The sequence below is a fragment of the Homo sapiens genome, chromosome 15, assembly GCF_000001405.40.
Source record: "Homo sapiens chromosome 15, GRCh38.p14 Primary Assembly".
Classification (NCBI taxonomy): Eukaryota; Metazoa; Chordata; class Mammalia; order Primates; family Hominidae; genus Homo; species Homo sapiens.
In genome coordinates, this window is record NC_000015.10 from 28,607,126 (window position 1) to 28,627,977 (window position 20,852).

At 40.2% G+C, this 20,852-nt stretch overlaps 1 protein-coding gene across 1 annotated transcript in view; it reads left to right on the forward strand.

The window, feature by feature from the left end:
• The first annotated feature begins 4,933 nt into the window (after positions 1 to 4,933).
• Positions 4,934 to 20,852, forward strand: part of LOC124903450 (putative HERC2-like protein 3) — a 38,644-nt gene continuing 22,725 nt past the window's right edge. Inside the window, exons 1-3 of the mRNA XM_047433403.1 lie at positions 4,934 to 5,048; positions 11,094 to 11,253; positions 11,399 to 11,530. Coding sequence (XP_047289359.1) covers positions 11,160 to 11,253; positions 11,399 to 11,530 — 226 coding nt within the window. The 5' untranslated portion in view covers positions 4,934 to 5,048; positions 11,094 to 11,159. The remainder of the gene's footprint in view (positions 5,049 to 11,093; positions 11,254 to 11,398; positions 11,531 to 20,852) is intronic.

Below are 20,852 nucleotides of genomic sequence, written 5' to 3' on the forward strand. Positions count from 1 at the left end.
CGGGTGTCTGTTGTCCCAGCTACTCGGGAGGCTGAGGCAGGGAAATCACTTGAACCCCAGAGGTGGAGATTGCAGTGAGCTGAGATTGTGCCGCTATATTCCAGCCTGGGCTATGGAGCAAGACTCCATCTCAGAAAAAAAAAAAAAGAAGAAGAAATAAAGGGCATCTAAATTGGAAATGAAGATGCCAAGTTACTCTTGTTTGCAGATGATTGTTATATTTGGAAAAACCTAAAAACTCCACCAAAAAATGATTAGAACTGATAAATTCAGTAAAATTGCAGGATACTAAATTAACATACAAAAATCAGTAGCATTTCTCTCTCTCTCTTTTTTTTTTTTTTTTTTTTGAGATGGAGTCTCACTCTGTGGCCTAGGCTGGAAAGCAATGGCGCAATCTCGGCTCACTGCAACCTCTGCCTCCTGGGTTCAAACGATCCGCCTGTGTTAGCCGCCTGAGTAGCTGGGATTACAGGCGCCTGCCACCAGGCCTGGCTAATTTTTGTATTTTTAGTAGAGACAGGGTTTCACCACATTGGCCAGGCTGGTCTTGAACTCCTGACCTCAGGTGATCCACCTGCCTCGGCCTCCCAAAGTGCTGGGATTACAGGTATGAGCCACTTTGCCCAGCCAAATCAGTAGCATTTCTATATGTCAACAGTGAACAATATGAAAAATAAATCAAGAAAAATAATTCCATTTATAATAGCTACAAATAAAGTAAAATACGTAGGAATAAACCTAACCCAAGAAGTGAAAAGATCTCTACCACGAAAACTGTAAAACATTGATGCAGAAAATTGAAGAAGACACACAGAAAAGGAAAAGTTACTCTGTGTTCATGGATTGGAAGAATCAATATTAAAATGTCTGTACTACCCAAAGCAATCTACAGGTTCAATGTAATCCCTATCAAAATACCAATGACATTCTTCACAGAAATAGAAAAAAAAATCCTGAAATTTGTATGGAATCACAAGAGACAGAATAGCCAAAGCCATCCTGAGCAAAAAACAAAACTGGAGAAATTGCATTATCTGACTTAAAATTATACTACAGTCACTTCCTGGTCTTTTTTGGCTTAGATCAAGTGCAAAGTTTACTAGAAAGGTATACCAAAACAGCATGGTACTGGTATAAAAACAGACACCTAGACCAATGGAACAGAATAGAGAACCCAGAAACAGATCTATACATCTACAGTGAACTCACCTTTGACAGAGGTGCCCGGAGGATACATGAGGGAAAGGATAGCCTCATTGATAAATGGTGCTGGGAAAATGGGGCACCCATATGCAGAAAAATGAAACTAGACCACTATCTCTCACCATATACGAAAATCACATCAAAATGGAGTAAAGACTTAAACCTAAGACTTCAGACTATGAAAGTGCTAAAAGAAAACATTGGGGAGACTCTCCAGGACATTGCACTGGGTAATGATTTCTTGAGTAATACTTCGTAAACACAGGCAACCAAAGCTAAAATGGACAAGTGGGATCACATTGAGTTAAAAAGCTGCACAGCAAAGGAAACAATCAACAAAATGAAGAGACAACCCACAGAATGGGAGAAAATATTTGCAAACTACCCATCTGACAAAGGATTAATAACCAGAATATATAATTAGCTTAAGCAACTCTATAGGAAAAAAATCTAATAATCCAATAAGAATGGGCAAAAGATTTGAATAGACATTTCTCAAAAGAAGATATACAAATGACAAACAGGCAATACGAACAGGTGCTCAACATGGTTGGTCATCAGAGACATGCAAATCAAAACTATAATGAGATATTATCTCACCCTAATTAAAATGGCTTATATCCAAAAGACAAGAACAAATGCTGGCAAGAATATAGAGAAAAGGGAACCCTTGTGCACTGTTGGTGGGAATGTAAATTAGCACAGCCATTATGGAGATTAGCTTGGAGGTTCCTCAAAAAACTAAAAATAGGACTATCATATGATTCAGCAATCCCACTGGTAGGTATATACCCAGAGGAAAGAATATCAGTATGTTGAAGAAATATGTACACTCTCATGTTTATTGCAGCACTATTCTCAATAGCCAAGATTTGGAAGCAACCTAAGTGTTCCCAGCAGATGAATGGATGAAGAAAATGTGGTATATATACTCAACGGAGTACTATTCAACCATGAAAAAGAATGGGATACTGCCGTTTGCAACAACATGGATAGAACTGGAGGTCGTTATGTTAAGTCAGGAACAGAATGTCATGAGCCAGACCCAGAAAATCGAACTTTGCATGTTCTCACTTATTTGTAGGTGCTAAGCAAATGAAAGTAATTGAACTCATGGAGATAGAGTAGAATGATGGTTATCAGAGACTGGGAAGGATAAAGTGGGGGTGAAGTGCGGATGGTTAATGGGTATAAAAATGGAGTTAGATAGGGCTGGGCACAGTGGCTTACGCCTGTAATCCCAGCTCTTTGGGAGGCCAAGGTAGGTGGATCATGAGGTCAAGAGACCCAGACCATCCTGGCCAACACGGTGAAACCCCATCTCTACCAAAAATACAAAAATTAGCTGGGTGTGGTGGTGTGAGCCTGTAGTCCCAGCTACTCGGGAGGCTGAGGCAGGAGAAACCCTTGAACCCAGAAGGCAAAGGTTGCAGTGAGCTGAGATCGCACAACTGCACTCCAGCTTAGTGCCAGAACGAGATCCGTCTCCAAAAAAAAAAAAAAGTTAGATAGAATATATAACCCATATATATATACATACAACTAGTGTGTATCCACAGAAGTTAAAAAAAAAAAAAAGATGGGCAAACATCTGTCTCTTTTAATTAAAAATGGCTTTTGTTTTGCCAGACAAGGGAGCTTCTGTCACATACGCAGTTTTCAGAATGGATGCCTTCCCCCAGTGTCTGAAATGCTCCCTTTTCCTGTTCTGGGAAGCCTTTTCTGACTCACAAATGTTGACAAGCAAAGGCGTTTTTGATTTTGATGCTCACAGTTATTATAATTATTATAAATTTGGCCAGGAGTCCCTATCGTCTTTGAACAGCTGCTTTTTTTTTTTTTTTTTTTTTTTTTTTGAGATAAAGTCTTGCTCTGTCACCCAGGCTGGAGTGCAGTGGCACAGTCTTGGCCCACTGTAACCTCCGCCTCCTGGGTTCAGGCTATTCTCCTGCCTCAGCCTCCCAAGTAGCTGGGATTATGGGCGCCTGCCACCATGCCCAGCTAATTTTTGTATTTTTAGAAGAGATGGGGTTTCGGCATGTTGGGTAGGCTGGTCTCGAACTCCTGACCTCAAGTGATCTGCCCGCCTCAGCCTCCCAAAATGCTAGGATTATAGGCGTGAGCCACCGCACCTGGCCATGTTTGAGGAAACAGCTTTTTCTTTGAGGAAACAGGCTCATCTTTGTCTGCCCTGGCCCTTGAATCTACTTATTTTCCCAAGAGCCCTAGCGTCTTTTATCGGGAAATGGTTCTGAGAGACCAAAATCTGGGTGCCGCTGTCAGATTGCCTTTGATTCTAGTCCTTTAAAAAACAGAGTAAGCAAATATATTCAAAAATAAAGTTCATAGATTTCCAATTTAAGTTGTTTTTCAAAATTTCTTTGATTTTTTTTCCTCTTTTCCACTGAAAACCTTAATTTTTTTTTTTTTTTTTTTGAGATGGAGTCTCGTTCTGTTTACCCAGGCTGGAGCACAGTGACATAATCTCGGCTCACTGAAACCTCTGCCTCCTGGGTTCATGCTAGTCTTCTGCTTCAGCCTCCCGAGTGACTGGGATTACAGGCATGCACCAGCACACCCGGCTAATTTTTCATATTTTTAGTAGAGATGGGGTTTCACCATGTTGGCCAGGCTGGTCATGAACTCCTGACCTCAAGTGATTTACCTGCCTTGGCCTGCCAAATGCTGGGATTACGGGTGTGAGCCACCATGGCCGGCCTAAAACCTTAATTTCTAAGAACATTTAATACTTTATCATAAACATGTTTTATTGTATTTACACTGCTTTATTGTGCAACATGAAGTAGTTCTAAAATTGTGAGAGTGTTATCAATACCGATAAATATTTTATTTTTCATTATAGTATATTCTATTAATGATATGTAGTTCAAAAGTCCCTTGACATACTTTTCTTTGTATATGCATGGGTTAATTTGCTTGTTGCCAGTTGTAGGTTTTGCTTTTTTATGATTTAATTTTAATTTTTGAGGATGAAAGTCATGTATGTTTCAGAAGTAAAGACATCTAAAGTATACTCACAATGTTGTTGCTTTTTCTGGTCCTGCTGCCTTTGTCCATGTCCCCTCCCCATTTCCCCGTAGGTAGTCATTGGTACTTGCTTTCGGTTTATCTTTTCAGAGCATATGCACGTGTGTGTGTTTGTGTGTGTGTCTTTTTTTTTTTTTTCTTTTTTTTTTTTTTTAACACCGAGTCTCGCTCTTATCAACTCAGGCTGAGTGCTGTGGCGCGATCTTGGCTCACTGCAACCTCTGCCTCCTGGGTTCAAGCAATTCTCTTGCCTCGGCTTCGTGAGTAGCTGGGATTATAGGCGCCCGCCACCACGCCTGGCTAATTTTTTGTATTTTTAGTTGGGACGGCGTTTCACCGTGTTGGCCAGGCTGGTCTCAAATTCCTGATCCCCCGTGATGTGCCCCGCTCGGCCTCCCAAAGTGCTGGGATGACAAGCATGAGCCACCTCGCCCGACCATGTGTCATTTTTCTTGTATGTTACATAAGAGGTAGAATAGTATTTATACTATTATGCACCTTTTCATTTATATTTCTTGGATGACTTTCATGAAATGTAAAATGATTAAGTCACTAATTCAGTAAATCATTGATTTTATTACCGAATGATCGAATACATAAGGGCGATTGAGATTTTTTCCCATATCATTCTTTAAAAATTGCAGTGTGAGTGTGAGCTTATCTCATTTATCATTGCCAGCTTGCATTCACAAGAGATGGGCTCTGTGGTCTGTGGAATGAAATGGTTAAAGATGGAGAAATTGTATACACTGGAACAGAATCAACCCAGAACGGATAGCTCCCTCCTGGAAAAGGTAAGGGCCTTTAACTAGTGTTTTTTATTTGGTAAAGACCATTATAAAATGCATTTTATAGAAATTTTGTAATGTGCTATAGGAACAGGAGCTTTGAGCTTAACTCTTTGAAGTTTTGCTTTTTACTTTGGAGATTGTTGTCTAAAATGGTAGTTAATACAAGCTGCCCGGATTTTATTGTTTTACGTGAATTGAAGGCATTTTTATTGCAAAACCGTCTTGCCGCATTTGTGGTGTTCTTTGGGGGTGTATTAAACACTTATTGGAAGCCTTTGGCCTGCAAGGAAATGCCATTGAACAATCTTATTTAGCGTTGTAGTTTTGCATGCTCAATAGGACTATCATTAGGTTGTTCATAACAGTGGCTGTGTTTCAGAGTCCCCATTGAGGTTTAAAAAAATGGATGCTTGTATACACCCTAAACTTGTTGAATCTGAAAAGATCCTTGGTTGAGAACCACTGTTGAAGTTCGTTGGTCCCCCTGCTTGAGAGTCATCAACGTGGATAAAGCTACCACTTTAGAAAGTATTTATTCTAAGTTGAAATAGCTCAGTTGGGAGAGCATTAGTCTGAAGAAAGTATTTCTTCTTCTTTTTTTTTTTTTTGGGAAGGAGTCTTGCTCTGTCGCTGAGGCTGGAGTGCAGTGGCGCGATCTCAGCTCACTGCAAGCTCCACCTCCTGGGTTCATGCCATTCTCCTGCCTCAGCCTCCCAAGTAGCTGGGACTACAGGTGTCCACCACCACGCCCAGCTAATTTTTTGTATTTTTTAGTAGAGACAGGGTTTCACCGTGTTAGCCAGGATGGTCTCAATCTCCTGACCTCGTGATCCGCCCGCCTCAGCCTCCCAAAGTGCTGGGATTATAGGCGTGAGCCACCGTGCCTGGCAAGTATTTATTCTTCTTTTGTGGAATGAATTGGGATGGTGTCCACTTGAAAATACTTGGGGACCGGGCGCGGTGGATCGTGCCTGTAATTCCAGCACTTTGGGAGGCTGAGGCGGGCAGATCATTTGAGGTTGGGAGTTTGAGACCAGCCTGGCCAACATGGTGAAACCCCGTCTCTACTAAAAAATACAAAAATTAGCCAGGCATAGTGGCGGGCGCCTGTAATCCCAGCTACTTGGGAGGGCACGGCAGGAGAATTGCTTGGAGCCGGGAGGTGGAGGTTGCAGTGAGCAGATATTGTGCTACTGCACTCCAGCCTGGGTGACAGAGTGAGACTCCATCTCAAAAAAAAAAAACAAAAAACACAAAACAAACCATGGGAAAAAGTATTAGTCTCCCTCTTCAGTTTCAGTGTCAAGCAGAGTTACCTGTGTTTTTATTTTAATTTATTTTTTATATTTTTTTGAAAATATTCACACACACACACACACACACACACACACAATAACTGACAGACGTGTACAGTGAGTGGCTGCAGACCCACCTCCATGTCCTGCCACCGTATTTGGCTCCACATCCTGCTGTCTGTCCATCCACCGTTTGTCTCACCTAGCTCCTTAGACACTCATGTATGTAATTGATTCTAGTTCAACTTTGTTTTTGACTTTCAGGTAAAATTTATATATAATGAAATGTATCTATTTTGAGTTTACCATTTCACAAGTTTTGACAAATGTAACCCGTGTAACCCACATCTTTATCATGACTCTTGCTCAGAAAGTTCTCTGGTGTCCTGCCCCTTCTTCCCAGAGGCAATAGCTGGCCTGATGTTTCTCCAGCATTGACAAATTGCGCCTGTTCTAGAACTCCATACATGGAATCATGTAGTCGGGTTCTTCTGTGTCTTGGCTTCTTTCACTCTGTTTAGTGCTTTTGATTTTCATGTTTTTTTTTTTTAAACAACGTAATGGGTTTATATTTAATATAGCACTTCTCATCAGGAGGTGTTACTCAGTTAATATAAAGTTTTTATTAACATTAAATCTCTTTTCCATGTCAATGTCTATAGTGTTTTTTTTTCTTTAACATTAAGTCTTTTCTCCATTTCAGTATTAGATACACTGAACACATTTTTCTAAATGATTTTTTTTCTTTCCAGAGATAAAAGTTTCCCTTTTTGGCTGACTATTGGATATCTGAATTGGGGAGATGACAAAAGTCTAATAAAAATACAGAGAACAGACTCAGTGATTTAGGAGGCAGTGATTACGACTGAACAGTGGCGATTTCCTAGGATTCTGGGCAAAATCCATTTATGTACCAATTTGTTCCCATTTCATGGAATCAACTCAGAAAGTAAAACTCTCCTACTTACTAATTCTTGGAAACTTTCAGACACCAAAGCTTACATTTAGTTTCAGTAGCACAAAGGTTTTCAGGGTGAGGTTTCATTCATTAGGCCCTTCAAAGTCACATCTGTTCATTTTTATCTTTCGTGCGTATACCTGCAAGCAAGTACAAACACCTGTAATACTGAGAACCACACCTTTTAACGAGAGAGCAGTTGCATCACTGGCTTCCACTGCCTTGACAGCAGGCAGCACCAAAAGCAGTGACATAAGGACTAAGGACAATTGTGTTGAAACTGAGGTCATGATGTTGGGATTTTGAGGGCTGAATGTTCCAAGTAAGTGGTATATATAGAATTCTCTCTGACTTGAAATTTTCCCTTTCTGGACCTCTGGATGCTGAGGCTAAGAGTGTCCATATGACAGTGTCTTCCAAGACAGGAATCAGCAACCTTTTTTTGTTTTTCTGTATCAGTAATTCATTCTGTATATTTTAAAAAGTTTTAACCTCTTCTTCCTAGCCCTCCAGTATTTGTTTATAAATTAAAACGTTTCCCAAAGTGTTTTCTGTGAAACAATAGTTCTAAAAGGTGCTCTAAGAAAAGCTAAGTACATGGCAAAATCCAAAGTATATGTTTTATTCATTACATTTGATGAATTTTTTTTGTTTTTTCCTCTCGAGAGGGAGTCTTGTTCTGTCGCTCAGGCTGGGGTGCAGCGGCATGATTTTGGCTCACTGCAACCCCTTCCTCTCGGGTTCAAGCAGTTCTCTGCCTCAGCCTCCTGAGTACTCAGCTAGGATTACAGGCGCCCTCCACCATGCCCAGCTAATTGTTGAATTTTTAGTAAAGACGGAGTTTCACCATCTTGGTCAGGCTGGTCTTGAACTCCTGACCTCATAATCTGCCCACCTCGGCCTCCCAAAGTGCTGGGTTTACAGGTGTGAGCCACCATGCCCAGCCCACATTTGATGAATTTTTTTGTCTTTTGTTCTTTTAAAAATCATGGTTGGAAAGCAGAGCATAATTGTTCTTTATGTAGATCCCAACTGATTGGGATTGTTAGGGAGATGTTTTGGCATTCAGTAAATGTTTTTGTTTTCCATTATTAAGACTATGAATATTTTATTTTATTTTCTGAGACAGGGTCTCAGAATTTGTCAAATTTGTAAAATTTATAGCCAGATGTAGGGTAGGGGTGGCCTACTTTCTGTAAAGGGCCAGATAGTAAATATTTTAAGCTCTCAATGGACCCTATGGTCTCTGTCATAGCCATGGGACCTTGCAGCTGTAGTGCCAGAGTAGCCACAGACAATACTACGTCAGCGGGCTGGGGACGTTCATTCTGTAAACTTTATTTATGGACACGAAAAGATGAAGTCCACAGAATGTTTGCAAGTCACAAAATACTGTTTTTCTTTTGATTATTTTTCAATTATTAAAAACTATAAAATACGGTGGCTGGGCGTGGTGGCTCACACCTGTAATCCCAGCACTTTTGGAGGCCGAGGCAGGCGGATCACCTGAGGTCAGGAGTTCGAGACCAGCCTGGCCAACATGGTGAAACCCCATCTCTACTGAAAACAAAAAATTAGCCGGGCATGGTGATGCACCCCTGTAATCCCAGCTCCTCGGAGGTTGAGGCATGAGAATCACTTGAACCTGGGAGAATCGCTTGAGCCTGGGAGGCAGAGGTTGTGGTGAGCCAAGACTCCATCTCAAAAGAACAACAAAACTAAAATACTTTCTCTGTGTTCAGACCATACACAAAAAGGCTGTGGGCTGGGTTTGTCCTGTGGGCTGTGGTTAGTGACCACACACACACACACACACACACACACACACACACGGCAGAGTCTGGCATTCAGAGCCAGCACCTGTGTTCTCACCTGAGCCGTGTTCCTGGCTGGGTTCTACTCTGTATTCTGTGACTCGAGGTGTCTACCTTGGTAAACTGGAGGCTGTTTTAGTTTGCATTCCCGCTGACAATCTGTCACGTTTCTGTTGCTCTGTGTCTTTGTTAGCACTTGGTGTTATCAGTGATTTTTAGTTGAGCCATTCTAACAAGTCTAGTGGGATCTCATTGTGGTTTTAATTTGCAATTCTGTAATGGCTAACAATGCTGAATATCATGTTCTTTTTTGCCACTCTTGTATCCTCTGTGAGTTTCTGTTCAGATCTTTTGCACAGAAAAAGCTGTATCATGGAACCAGTAAAATAACCAAGGAGAGGTTGATTAAAGTTCTGTTTATAACCCTAGAAGATTCCTGCCCTAGGGATATGGGATGGCTGAACGTAGGACACCGACACTGGACAGATGAAATAGCAGTTTATTAGTCACGCATGCTCACAGCCCTGGGGTGGGGGACACCGCATGCCACACGGGGGCTGCACTTGGGAACAGAGCGAACCACGAGGGGCTGTGGGAGGCACATTTTGTAGTAACAGGAGGGTGAGATGACCTTGCTTCCATGGGAAGATGTGACTGGCTTGTTTGAATAACTCTGGGCCGGCAGGGATGAGCAGGCTGGGGTCGGGTTTCCGCGATAAGGAGGTTGTTTGGCTTTGGGATCTTATCCGTGAGAGCAGAGCTCAGGGGAGACCTTGTGGTTAGGCTATTTGAGGCCTTCTTGATTTTACCAATGTCAAGGCAGCACGTAATATTTAGTCTTAATTTCAGGCCACACGAGAAATTCTTCTGTATCTACTTTCCGTGGCACTTTTCAAAAGGTTTTGTCCTTAGTGTTTAGCAGTTGATTATGATGTGCCTCGTCATGGCTTCCTTTGGATTTATCTTGTGTGGGCTTTGTGCAGATTCTTCAGTCTGCCTGGGTTTATGTCATTTGCTGAACCTAGGAAGTTTTCAGCCATTAGTTCTTTGGATATTTTTTTCAGCATTCACCTTTTCTCTCTTGTTATTAACCTGTGGGGTCTGTGCTAATTCTAGGTAGTTAGTTTCAGAATTGAATTGCACTGTGGGACACAAAGCTGGGTGTCGCAGAGAACTGGAGAATTGCTTGGTGCAAAAGTCCATACATTTGGTGTCAGAAGTGTTGTAAACAGAGGAACTGTTTCCTTCGAGATTTTTAGATAGTCATTATTTGTAATCTGGATGGGATATCATGTCTTTCCCCGATTGAGATACATTTTTCTAATTATGTTGTTAGACATTTAGTCACAGCCTTCTGTGATGGAATGTGTTTACACTTCAAGGTTAAGGTTAGTTCTCTCTTCTCTTCGCTTACTGTGTAAGGAGTTTTATGACAGTTGTTTTTGACTGAAACTTGACATTGTCAGTGGCCTAAAGTGATTTTTCTCAGCTTTTCCTTTGTGTCCCAGTGCTCTTGAATTATGCCAGCAGTGACAGTGCCCCTGCATAGCAGTGCTTCCCAGTTGGCAGTGGAGTAGGGCCTTGTAAAGAGTTAAAAGATTTTTGAATCATACTCTTGTTCTACACCCTCCCTTTTCCCATGGATACACAAGCACTGGGACTCACTGGATAAAAGCAATTGGTGTGAAATTGAAGTAGGTAAATATGAAAGACTTAAGTTTCTCAGTTAAGAAATGTACTAGGAAGTAGATGGAATATCATTTTGGAAGACATCCTTTAAATAATTTGTTGTATTGGTTTCTTTTTTTTTTTTTTTGAGATGGAGTCTCGCTCTGTCACCCAGGCTGGAGTGCAGTGGCATGATCTCAGCACACTGCAAGCTCTGCCTCCCAGGTTCACACCATTCTCCTGCCTCAGCCTCCCGAGTAGCTGGGAATACAGGCGCCTGCCATCATGCTCAGCTAATTTTTTGTATTTTTAGTAGAGACGAGGTTTCACCGTGTTAGCCAGGATGGTGTCGATATCCTGACCTCCTGATCCACCCGCCATGGCTTCCCAAAGTGCTGGGATTACAGGCATGAGCCACCACGCCCGGCCAATATATTGGTTTCTTTATGAAAATTATACTGGATCTGTTACAGGTATGATTGATGTATTTTATTTTTAAGTTGTCAAGCATTCAGTTAATCATGTGTGTTGTAACTTTTCGGGGAGGGACATTTGCAGAGGCTAACGGTATGACATTCTGAAAAGCGGTGACAGATTAAAAAATTTTTAATTCTGCAGATGATAGTGTCGAACCAAGTGGGACAAAGAAAGATCTGAATGACAAAGAGAAAAAAGATGAAGAAGAAACTCCTGCACCTATATATAGGGCCAAGTCAATTCTGGACAGCTGGGTATGGGGCAAGCAACCAGGTGATCTTGCGAATTTTGGCACTTTGGAAAGGTTGATCTGACACTCCCTTTCTAAATAACTTGAATGGATTCTTAGTATTTTTTTGGTAACAATTTTTTAAAAACTAATTAAAAAATTTAAATATTGTGGTAAAATATACATACCATGTAACTTACCGTTTTAACCAGTTTTATGTGTACAGTTCATTGGCATTAAATATATTGACATTGTTGCCCAGCCATCACGCTTGACTAATTAGAGACAGAATCTCACTGTGTTGCCCAGGCCGGTCTTATACTCCTGGCTTCACGGGATCTTCCTGCCTCAGACTCCTGAGTTGCTGAGATTTCAGATGTGAGCCATCGCACCTGGCACTATGTGTAACTTTTTGAGGAAGCAGTAAACTGTTTTCCACAGTGGCTACATTGTTTTACATTCTTGCAGCAGTATACTAAGGTTCCAATTTCTCCACACCCTCACCAACACTTTTTGTTTTCTGATGATAGCCATCCTAATTTGTGTGAGTAGGTACAGCATCTCATTGTTTTGATTTGTATTTCCCTGTTGATTAGTCATGCTGAGCATCTTTTTACATGCTTATTGGCCATTTGTATACATTCACTGGAGAAATGTCTATTCAAATCCTTTGCCCGTTTTTTGTTTTTTTTTTTTTTTGGGGAGATGGAGTTTGGCTCTTGTTGCCCAGGCTGGAGTGCAGTGGTGCAATCTTGGCTCATTGCAACCTCCACCTCCCAGGTTCAAGTGATTCTCCTGCCTCATCCTCCCGAGTAGCTGGGATTACAGGTGTCCGCCACCGTGCCTGGCTAATTTTTTGTATTTTTAGTAGAGACGAAGTTTCACTATGTTAGCCAGGCTGGTCTTGAACTCCTGACTTCAGGTGATCCACCCACCTTGGCCTCCTAAAGTGCTGTATTACAGGTATGAGCCACTGTGCCTGGCCCTTTTGCCCTTTCTTTTTTTTTTTTTTTTTTTTGGAGACAGAGTCTTGTTCTGTCACCCAGGCTGGAGTACAGTGGCATGATCTTGGCTTACTGCAACCTCCACCTTCCGGGTTCACGCCATTCTCCTGCCTCAGCCTCCCGAGTAGCTGGGACTACAGGCGGGCACCACCACACCCAGCTAATTCCATTTTTTAATTGAGTTTTTTGTTTTGGGTTATAGGAGTTCCTTATCATGGATGGACTTTCATAATCTCTTCCCTTTCTCCAACCCAGTAAAACCCATATATTTATTCTTTGCTTACTTTTTTGTGTGTAATTGAATTTTTTAAAATGTCTGATGCATTTTCGTTCCAATTAAAAATATACATCAAATAAATGTTTTCTTATAAAAATGTATCGATTATAAAAGCAGAAATTTCACCTGGCTGCCCACCCCAATTTCAGTTTTCCTCTAAGAGTTAGCCACTATTATCCCTTCAGAGTGGATATTCAGGCTTTTCTTTCCTGGCATGGACATACATATGTAAATGTACATATATAAAAATAATTAGTGACACCATGCATGGTAGCTCACGCCTGTAATCCCAGCACTTTGGGACGCTGAGGTGAGAGAATTGCTTGAGGCCATCAGTTTGAAGCTGCAGTGATCTATGATTGTGCCTCTACACTCCAGCCTGGGTGACAGGGTGAGACCCTGTCTCTTAAAAAAAAATTCGTATTTGGGGTTAGTAGTAGTACCTACCTCATAGGTTATTATGGGATCAGTACAGTAGGCCAGACAAAGTGCGTATGCTATTATTTTGCATGTAGTAAGTACCAGCATATACTACCTGTTATCCAGAAATTTGCTGAAATGTGCCTTGTATTTTCTCTCTTTCGATTTTGATCAGTCTTCCTAGAAGTCATCAGTTTGAGTTTTTTCAAAGAACCAGTTGTTGGTTTTATTGATTTTGTTTGTTTTCTTTTTCATTGATTTCTGCTTTACTCTTTATTATTTCCTTTTTTCTGCTGGCTTTGGGTTCCATTTGTTCTTCTGTCTCTTCTAGTTTCTTAAGGTAAAGGCTTAGATCATTGACTTCAGATTTTTTGTCTTTTCTAACAAGTGTTCAAAACTATAATATAAATTTCCCTCTAAGCATTGTTTAGCCACATTTCACAAATTTGGAAATGTTTATTCATTTTCATCTTCATTCAGTTGAAAATATTTTCTAATTTCCCTTTTAATTTCTTCTTTTACTCACTTATTATTTGGAAATGTGTTATTTCATTTCCAAATATTTGGGGATTTTCAAATATCTCCTGTTAACAATTTCTAAATTAGTTGTAGTCAGAGAACATATTCTGTGATTTCAATGCTGAGGCTTGTCTGAAGCCCCAGAATATGGTGCATTCTGTGGAATGTTTCATGCACATGTAATAAGAATGTGGCTGGGTGCAGTGGCTCCTGCCTGTAATCTCAACACTTTGGGAGGCTGAGGTGGGTGGATTACTTGAGGTCAGGAGTTCGAGACCAGCCTGGCCAACATAGTGAAACCCTGTCTCTACGAAACATACAAAAATTAGCTGGGTGTGGTGGTGGGTGCCTGTAATCTCGATTGCACCCCTGCACTTTAGTCTGGGTGACAAAGCAAGACTACATCTCAAAAAAAAAAAAAAGTGTATTTTGCTGCTCTGTAAAGCTTAGTGAGATCAAGTTGATAGTGTTCAGGTATCCTTGACTTGAAATAGTTTTCTGCCTGCTTGTTCTAGTCACTGTTAGGAGAGGAGTTGAACTAACACACAAGGTTGGCTTACCACATTAGTTTGACATGAATCTCAGAGATGTTACCCGTAGCTGATTACTTAGTAACTTTAAAGATACAAGTAATATCCTCACTTGTGTGCTCAGGCAAAGTGGGGAGAGATGTGGGAGAGTCTGTGCAACCCCCGCAGGTCCATCCTCTTTGAGCCCGGCCTGCGAGATGAGACCTCTCACTGAGGCGTGTGGTCCTCTCACTGAGGTGTGTCGTCATCTCACTGCACAAGGAGCATTAAGGATGTGCAGTGTTCCCGTTTTGTAGTCAGATAGTTTATACACCTTAGGGAACCTTTTCCAGGGAGCCATGTCCCATAAGTCCATGGATTTTAGGTATGTTTACCAAACACAATCCTAAACTAACCACATCTTGCTAAAAACATTTCATAGATAAGGACACTTCTCCTAGCAAATACCAGTCATTTATTTACAGAGAAGCCAGTCTCAGTGTTCTGGGAGATCAGCCCCAGTGACTGGCTTTATTTCCCAGGAGTATCTCCATTGTGCTGGGGAGGCATGAAGAGCAATTTCACTGCTTAGTTCCTCTTTCTTCTGAGGAGAATTGAAATCTCTCATGCTAATTATGGATTATTTTCTTTCAGCTCTGCAGGTTTTGCTTCATGTATTTGAGAATGTTATAGGGTGCATGCACTTTTAGGATTTTTACGCCATATTCATAAATTTGACCCCCTTAATCTCCGGTGACATTCTTTGTTGTGAAGTCACCTTGGTCTGACTACTCTCCTTTCTTCTGATTTGGTGTTTGCGTGGTGTGTTTGCCAGGTTTAGCTTTTTTCACTTTCAAACTTTGTGTATGTGTAAAGTAGATTTCTTTCAGGTATCATTTAATTAGGTCTTGCTTCTTTATTCACCCTGACAACCTCTGTTTTTTATTTGGAATCTTTAGACTACTTGGGTTTAAATCTATCATCTCTGGCGTTTTCAGTTACATCTTTCACTTGTCACTGCCCACTCTCAAATGGTATTACACTGCCTGAGCTGCGGGGCAGTGCTCTGACTGTAGCTTCCTGCTTCTGACATGTTCTTGGTTGGTAGTGTTGCTGTGTCATGTCCAAGTGAAACATGGTATAAACCCCACAATATGATGTTTTTGTTTTTGCTTTAAATAGGCAATTACATTTTTTCCCCTCAAATTTGAAAAGAGAAAAAAAAGTCTTTTTTTTTTTGAGACGGAGTTTTGCTGTTGTTGCCCAGACTGGAGTGTAATGGCACAATCTCAGCTCACTGCAACCTCCGCCACCCAGGTTCAAGCGAGTCTCCTGCCTCAGCCTCCCTAGTAGCTGGGATTACAGACACACACCACCGTGCCTGGCTAACGTTTTTGTATTTTTAGTAGAGACAGGGTTTCACTATGTTTGCCAGGCTCGCCTCGAACTCCTGACCTTAGGTGATCCACGTGCCTCAGCCACCCTTAAGTGCTGGGATTATAGGATTATAGGTGTGAGCCACCACACCTGGCCTCTTTTTTTTTTTTTTTTTGAGGCGGAGTTTTGGTCTTGTTGCCCAGGCTGCCAGGATGGAGTGCAATGGCATGATCTTGGCTCACTGCAGCCTCTGCCTCCTGGGTTCAAACGATTCTGGCTCAGCCTCCCGAGTAGCTGGGATTACAGGCATACGCCACCACACCTGGCTAATTTTGTATTTTTGAGTAGAGACATGGTTTCGTCATGTTGGTCAGGCTGGTTTCGAACTCCTGACCTCAGGTGATCCACCCACCTCGGCCTCCCAAAGAGCCACCATGGCTGGCCAAAAAAAAGTTTTTTATGTTAACTTTCATTTTACCATTATGGGCCCTTAAGGTTTTGTTTCTGTCCCAGCTACCTTGTGTTATCATGTTCCTTCAGTTTGAAGATCTCCCTTTACCATTTCTAGATTTTCTGACAGAGAAGTTTTTCAGTCTGTCTGGGTATCAATTTTGGCTTTATCTCTGACTCTACACAAATCACTTTGTCTCACCTTGGGCCTCTCATGTATAAAATAGGAATAAGTGGCCGGGTGCAGAGGCTCATGCCTGTAATCCCAGCACTTTGGGAGGCTGAGACGGGCGGATCATGAGGTCAGGAGATCGAGACCATCCTGGCTAACGTGGTGAAACCCTGTCTCTACTAAAGATACAAAAAAATTAGCTGGGCGTGGTGGTGGGCACCTGTAGTCCCAGCTACTCGGGAAGCTCAGGCAGGAGAATGGCATGAACCCAGGAGGCGGAGCTTGCAGTGAGCCAAGATTGCACCACCACTCTAGCCTGGGTGACAGGGTGAGACTCCATCTCAAAACAAAAAAAACAAACAAAAAAAAGGAATAAGTATAATATAATGTAAATAATTAAAATTATATATAAAATAAGTGAAAGTACTTACTCAGAGAGTTGCTGTGCAAATGACATGAAATAATGCATTTGAAGCTCTTAAGTCAGTGCCTGGCACAAATGTTTGATAAAGATTTGTTGTGATTTTAAAAATCTGTTATTTTGCCTTTCTCCATGTTTCCCCTCACCTAGGTATCAAAGTACCTACAGTTATGGGTGGGTAACTAGACTAAAAATGTACCTTTCTTGCTCAGATTAAAGCCCGGCTTATTGACTCAGGGCAGCTTTAATCGGTTTATTTGGAAGCTCTGCTTGTTCACAGGTACAGAGCTTTTGCAGAACCGACTCTGTACCTGGCAGCCTTGAAGGGGCTTGGATTCAAAGCATATTCTTGAGCCACGCCATCTTTAATCAAACTGCAGGTGGAATTTGTAGCTGTTAGAATAGCTCCTATTCCTTTCATTTCTTTTTCTGTTTTTTTACTCTTCCATCTCAGCCTAAAAAGAAAAACACGTTAATTTGAGCCATAGGAATTTAGAATTTGTTTTTTCTTTTGCTTAGATATGTTTGACTAAAGCTTCCTTTTTCACAGGTTTATTTTTTCCAACATTTTATTATGAAAAAAATATATACAGAAAAGTTGAAAGAATTTTACAGCGCGCACCCACATATTCACCACCTAAGATTGTGCCGCTGGCATCATCCCACGTGCTTTATCACCGTTCTCTCCACCTTTTCATCCTTCTATTCATCCATCAGTCCCTCACATTTTTTTTGCAATGTTTCCAAGGAGACCTCTGGACACTTGCTTCTCAACATTGCAGCGTGTAGGCCCTCAGCAGGAGTTCAGAAGTGCACATTTCACAGTGAACCTTCTGAGAGTGTTGACAGATCACAGCTTTTCTTTTTGTCTAATGAAAAGGGCTTGCTGGCCATTGGGTGTTGTAATCTCTTAGGAGAGTAAACTCTTAGTAACTATCTAAATCATTCTTAATGATTCTCTCTGCTGTATAAATAGGTCTGGGAGGACCCTTTCTGACATTCTTGTTGGCATAGGTTTTAGCTTAAGGTGTTGTAAATGCTGTTTATCAAGATGATGAAGTTCCCATTTGTTGCTATTTTCTGAGAATTTTTATCATTCACGAGTATTGAATTTTGTCATTTGCTTTTTCTAAATCAATTGATATGTAATTATGTGATTTTTGTTCTTTAGTCTATTAATAGGGTGGGTTACATTGATATTTGACTGTTGAACCAGCTTTGCATTCCTGGAATGAAACTACTTGGCGATGATGTGGAATTCTTTTTATATATTGTTTACTTCTACTTGCTAATAATTCACTGAATATTTTTGTGTCTATATATATATTAAGGTATATTGTTCTGTAGTTTGTACTGTCTTTAGGTACGGTACCTAATATTAGCTTCTTAAAATGCTAATATTAGCTCTAATATTAGCTTCTTAAAATGCTAATATTAGCTCTAATATTAGCTTCTTAAAATGCTAATATTAGCTCTAATATTAGCTTCTTAAAATGCTAATATTAGCTCTAATATTAGCTTCTTAATATGAATTGGGAAGTTTTTCCTTTTCTAGTTTCCAGAAGAGATTGTTTTGAGTCTGTGTTAATTCTTTTTTAATGTTTGATGGAATTATCCAGTGAGTTCATTTGGATCTGGTAATTTCTTTTTTTTTTTTTGGGATTCTTTGAATTATGAATTCAGTTTTCTTGATAGTGGTAGAGCTATTCAAATGATCTATTTTATATTTGGTGAGTTGTGGTAATTTGCATTATTTGAGGAATAAGTCTATTTTGCCCAAGTTGTCAAAGTTATGTGTGTAGAGTTGTTCCTAGTAATTCCTAATTATCTTTTTTCATATCTTTAGAGCCTGTTTCATCACTAATGTTGGGTAATTTATGTCTTTTTTTTTTTTGTCAGTCTTGCTTAGAGAGGTGTGTCAGTTTTATTGATCTTTTCAAAGAACCAGCTTTTTGCTTTACTGTTTATTGTTTTTCTGTTTTCACTTTGTTTCTACTCTTACCTTAATTATTTCTTCCTTTCTGCTTACTTTTGGGTTGATTTTGCTATTTTTAATTTTCTTTTAGGTTGTCAACGTGGGCACTTATATTATTGATTTGTTTCCAAGTTTCTAATGTACCATTCATTTAGTGCTGTAAATTTGTCTCTCGTCACCCACTGTAGCTCTTTCCCATACATTTTGATGTATTGTACTTGCATTTTCTCTCAGTTCACAATATATTTTAAAATTTCCCTTGAGACTTTCTCTTTGATCCATGGGTTATGTAAAAGTTTATTGTTTAGTTTCTGAGAGTTAGGCAATTTTCCTGTAATTGTTCTCTTGTTGACTTCAGATTTGTTCCCATTGTTTGAGGGAACATATGCTGTGTGATTTTAATTTCAAAAAATTTGTTAGGTTTGTTTTATGCCTCAGAATATGTTCTAACTTAGTATTTGTTTTGTGGATACTTGAAAAGATTATGTATTCTGTTATTATTGGCTGGAGTGTTCTATAAATTTTGATTGGCTCTAGTTGATGGATGGTGATGTTGCGTTCTATATCCTGGCAGCTTTTCTGTCTCCTAATTTTATCAGCTGTAGAGAGAGATTTTGAGGTCTCCAACTATAAAAGTATAAATGTCTTTTTCTCCTTTCGGTTCTGTTCATTGTTTTTTTGTTTGTTTGGTGTCTGCACGTTTCGAATTGCTGTGTCTTAATGGTGGATTGACCAAGTTCTCATTTTGTAATGTTGCCGTTGGTTCCTGGTAATTATCTTTTTTTTTTTTTGAGACGGAGTTTCGCTCCTTTTGCCCAGGCAGGAGTGAAGTGGCATGATCTCAGCTCACTGCAACTTCCGACCCTACCAGGTTCAAGTGATTCTCCTGCCTCAGCCTCCTGAGAAGCTGGGATTATAGGCTTCTGCCATCACACCCAGCTAATTTTTGTATTTTTAGTAGAGATGGGGTTTTGCCATATTGGCCAGGCTGGTCTCAAACTCCTGAGATCCACCCACCTTGGCCTCCCAAAGTGCTAGGAGTACAGGCGTGAGCCACTGTGCCCGGCCCTCCTGGTAATTATCTTTGTTCTGAAGTTTACTTTATTTGATATAAATATAGCCAACTCCTGCTGTCCTTTCAGTAATGTTTGCATGATCTTTTTTTTTCTATACTTCTATTTTCAGTTTGCCTGTTTGAAGTCACTTTCTTATGGACAACATATAGTTGGATCATGTTCTCTAGTCTACTCTCCTAGTGTCTTTTAATTGATGTATTTAGATTGTTTACATTTAATTTAATGTCATTGATAAATTGAGGCTTAACACTGCCATTTTGTTTTGCATTTTCTATTTCTTCTGTTTTTCATTTTTTCGGTTTGGTTCTTCCTGGCTCTCTGTGGTTTACTTGACCATTTTTAGCATTCTATTTCATCTGTAGTGTTTTAGAGTGTATCTTTTTGTATAGCTTTTTTAGTGGCTTTTCTAGGTAATATATTACATACAGATTGAGCATCTGTAAACCCAAAATCCAAAATCTGAAATGCCCCAAAATTCGAAACTTTATGGCACTCCAGCATGACGCCCCCAAATTGAAAATTCCATTCATAAGTACTTAGCATGAACTTTGTTTCATGCACAAAATTACTAAGCATGCTATATAAAATTACCTTCAGGCTCTGTGTGTAAGTTATATATAAAACATAAATGAATGTATTTAGACTTGGGTCCTATCCCCAAAATATCTCATTATTTATATGCAGATATTCCTAAATCTGATAAAAATCTGAAATTTGGAACACTTGTGCTCCTGAGCATTTTATAAGGGACACTCAGCCTGTGTATGTATGAACACTTATCAGATTTTACCTGATGTTGTCATTTACCAGCTTCAGGGATATAGAAACTACCTCCTTTGATGTTCCTTTATGTTCTTCTGTTCATAATATACTTGCCTTAAATATTTCATTTACTTACATTGATAACCACATATGACAATGTTATAATTTTTGGTTGAACCTTCAGACATAATTTAGCAAAGTCAAGAGGTGAGGGAAAAGTCTATTGTATTTATGCGTTGGTGTGCTTGTCATCTCCTCCTTCCAGAAGTTCCAGGGTTTTCTTCTTTGATGGTTGCCATTCTGCTTAGAGAACTTCCATTAGCCTTTCTTTTGGTGTGGGTCTTCTGGTGACAAATTCTGTTTCACTTCCTCTGAGAATGTTTTGCTTTCCTTTTCATTCCTGA